The 3,205-nt window shown below is 35.6% G+C and overlaps 2 annotated features.

The window, feature by feature from the left end:
- Window positions 1,449–1,518: a silencer, noted in NCBI's record as "silent region_2258". NCBI's record gives its function as "represses an Ori minimal core promoter by ATAC-STARR-seq in GM12878 lymphoblastoid cells {active_cell/tissue: GM12878}" and the evidence as "EXISTENCE:reporter gene assay evidence [ECO:0000049][PMID:35858748]".
- Window positions 1,629–1,718: an enhancer, noted in NCBI's record as "active region_3194". NCBI's record gives its function as "activates an Ori minimal core promoter by ATAC-STARR-seq in GM12878 lymphoblastoid cells {active_cell/tissue: GM12878}" and the evidence as "EXISTENCE:reporter gene assay evidence [ECO:0000049][PMID:35858748]".

A 3,205-nucleotide genomic window follows, 5' to 3' on the forward strand; every position in this document is an offset into this window, starting at 1 on the left:
GGGTCAGACTGTATTGGTAGAGTGAAATTAATATGGTTAATTTGATTAAAATGAGACCTTTAAGTAATAGAACCCTCACATAATTTATCATGAGAAGAGGAGTGAGTTTGAAAACTTTTTGTGGCACATGTGTGCTGGGTTTCTTATTAGCAATGTAGTTACAGTCATTGGCCACTGTAGAGATTAGTCACTTTTATTTTACAATAATCAAGCAGTTCAAATCTGCTCACCTTTTCTGTGATAAGTGGCTATCAACAGTATGCTAACAGATTTTTAAACTTATTTTGGAATCATTTTAGATTTATAGAAAAGTCGTGCAGAGAGTCCAGAGTCCCACATACCTTTTTCCCAGCTTCCCTAACATGAGCATCTTACACATCCACAGCATGTCTGTCAAAACCAAGAAAGTAACATTGGTGCAATATATTAACTGCAGGCTTTATTCAGCTTTCACTCGTTTTTCTAATATGTCCTTTTTCTATCCCAGGATCCAATCCAGGACACCGCATTGCTTTTAGTTCTCACACTTCCTTAGTCTCTTCCAGTCTAGCGTTTTCTCAGCCTTGCTTTTCTTGACTTTGACATACTTGAGGAGCAGTGGTCAGGTATTTTGTGGATGTCCATCCTTTGGGGTTTTATTTATGTTTTCTCATGATTTGAGTGGGGTTATGGATTTCGGGGAAAGAAAACCACAGAGGTGAGGTGCCCTTCTTGTCATGTCCTATCAGGGGGACCTAACATGACTCATCCCTGATGAGGTTAACCTGGATCACTTGGCTAAGATAGAGTCCGCTGGGTTTCCTCACCAGAAAGTCGCCATTTTCCCCTTTCTGCATTCTATCTGTGGGAAGCAAGTCAGTCAGTCGAGCCCCTACTCAAAGGGAGGAGAATTAAGCTCCATTTCCTGGAGGGGGATTTTCTACATAGATTACTTAGAATTCTTCTGAGAGACAGACTTGTTTCTTGTCCTCAGATATTTATTTATTCAATCATTTATTTATATCAGTATGTCCTCATATATATTTATTTTATTCTGTGTGTTAGAATCCAGTACTATCGTTGTTTATTTTGTTGTGCGATTGTCTCAGTTTAGGCCATCGGGGGGTTTTCTCAGTTTGGTTCCTGTGTCTCTTCGACATGTGCCTCCCCCACCCTCAGCATTTCCTTATTCTTTGGCACCAACAAGATACCCCAAGCTCATTTTGCATTTTCCCTGACTCAGTTCTGCAATCAGCTTCTTTTCTAAGGAGTCCTGGTTTCTTTTACTGGAGAATAAAATGGTATTAGAAGCAAGTCTGTGTATTGAGAATGCCCATAGCTACTGGAGTGCCACTGTTTCTAGGTAGATGGACAGATTTATATTAATGTCTCCAACTCTAATCCAGTGTCACAGAGTTCAATTCTAGTCTTTCTCTTTTGCTTGTTTTTAACTTCTCTCTCTGACAGTGTGAAATCTGGCTCCCATCATCTGCAATGTTTTTCTTCATTTGCTTAATGCTAGTTTACATGTAGTTTCAGAATTGCTAACTCTTACCCCAGGGAGAAGGGAATTCACCAACTGAAGTACAGTGTTTATGTACAGATTGTTTTGTCTTTAGACTTTAGATATTCAGTCAAAACACTGTTTTCTAAAGTTACCTGGATCCGCATCTCTTTTCCCACGCCTTCAGTGAGGTTATGTTATACGTTTGTAATACAGTTAGGTCTTTTTCTCACAGACTAAATTCTATCCTGGTATTCCCCAACATCCTGGATGATTTTTTTAAAGTTTGCATACAATGAAGTTCCCCCTTTGTGGTGTACGGGTCTACAGATTTTGACAAATTCATGAAGCCATGTTTCTACTACCCCAGTATCATAGAGAACAGTTCCAATGACCTAAAATAAAATAGAATGTGTGTGGTTCCTTTGTAGTCAATTTCTCCTCTAACCCTTGACAATCACTGAACTGTTTTCCATCCCTATAAATTTTGCCTTTTCCATAATGTCGTATATATGGAATTATATATAATACGTATATATAATAGTAATCTTTTGGGTCTGCCTTCTTTTATTTAGCAAAATGCATTTAAGATTCATCCTCATTGTTGCGGGAATCAAATAGCTCATTCCTTTCATTGCTGAGTAGTATTCCATTGTATGGATAGATCATAGTTTTTGAATATATTTGCCTGCTGAAGGTCATCTTTGTTGCTTCCAGTTTTCATTGATTATGAATAAAGCTGCTATAAACATGGGTTAGCTTGTTTTTGTGTGAATGTAAGTTTTTTATTCACTTGAATAAATACATAGGAGTATAATTGTCGGTTTATGTGATAAGTCCATGTTTAATTTTATGAGAAACTGACTAACTGTTTTCCAAAGTGACTGTACCATTTGTATTTCCACCAGTGATAAATTGGAGTTCTTACAGTTCTGTGTCTTCATCATTTGGTTTCATCTAATTGATTTTAGCAATTCTAATTAGTGAGAAGTGATATCTAATTGTGGTTTTATTTACTCTTTCCTGGTGACAATGATATTGATCATCTTTTCATATGCTTGTCATTTGTATATCTTCTTTGAAATGTCTGCTTAAATCATTTGCCCTTTTTTTAATTGGGTTATATGCTTGCTTATAGTTGAATTCTAAGAGTCCTTTATATATTCTGAATACAAGGCTTTCATCTCATCAGACATTGATTTGTAAATATTTCTTCCAATCTGTAGCTAATCTTTTCATTCCCTTAACAGTGTCTTTCAAAGAGCAAAAGTTTTAAATTTTGATCAAATCCAACTAATCAGTTTTTTTTTCTTCCTTTCATGGATTGTGCTTTTGATGTTATATCTAAAATTTCATTGCCAAACCCAAGGTCCTGCAGATTTTTTATATTTAACTTAAAGAATTTCATCGTTTCACACTTTTTACATTTAGGCTTTTGATCCATCTTGAATTAATTTTTGTATGAGATATAAGGTATGTATTCTTCAATATGCCTTATGCCTTGTTTTATTTTTGTTGTTTTCGTTGTTTTGCACATAGACAGTCTTATTTTAGTACCATGTGTTAAATGGAACATCATCTTTCCATTGAATTTAATTTGCATCTTTATAAAAAGCTACTTGACTACATATGTGTAACACTATTTCTAGGCTCTCTATTTTGTTACACTGTCCTATGTGTCTGTTTCCACAAATATCATCCTGTCTTGATTACTACAGCTTT

This window comes from Homo sapiens, chromosome 10 (assembly GCF_000001405.40).
Source record: "Homo sapiens chromosome 10, GRCh38.p14 Primary Assembly".
In the NCBI taxonomy this organism is placed as follows: domain Eukaryota; kingdom Metazoa; phylum Chordata; class Mammalia; order Primates; family Hominidae; genus Homo; species Homo sapiens.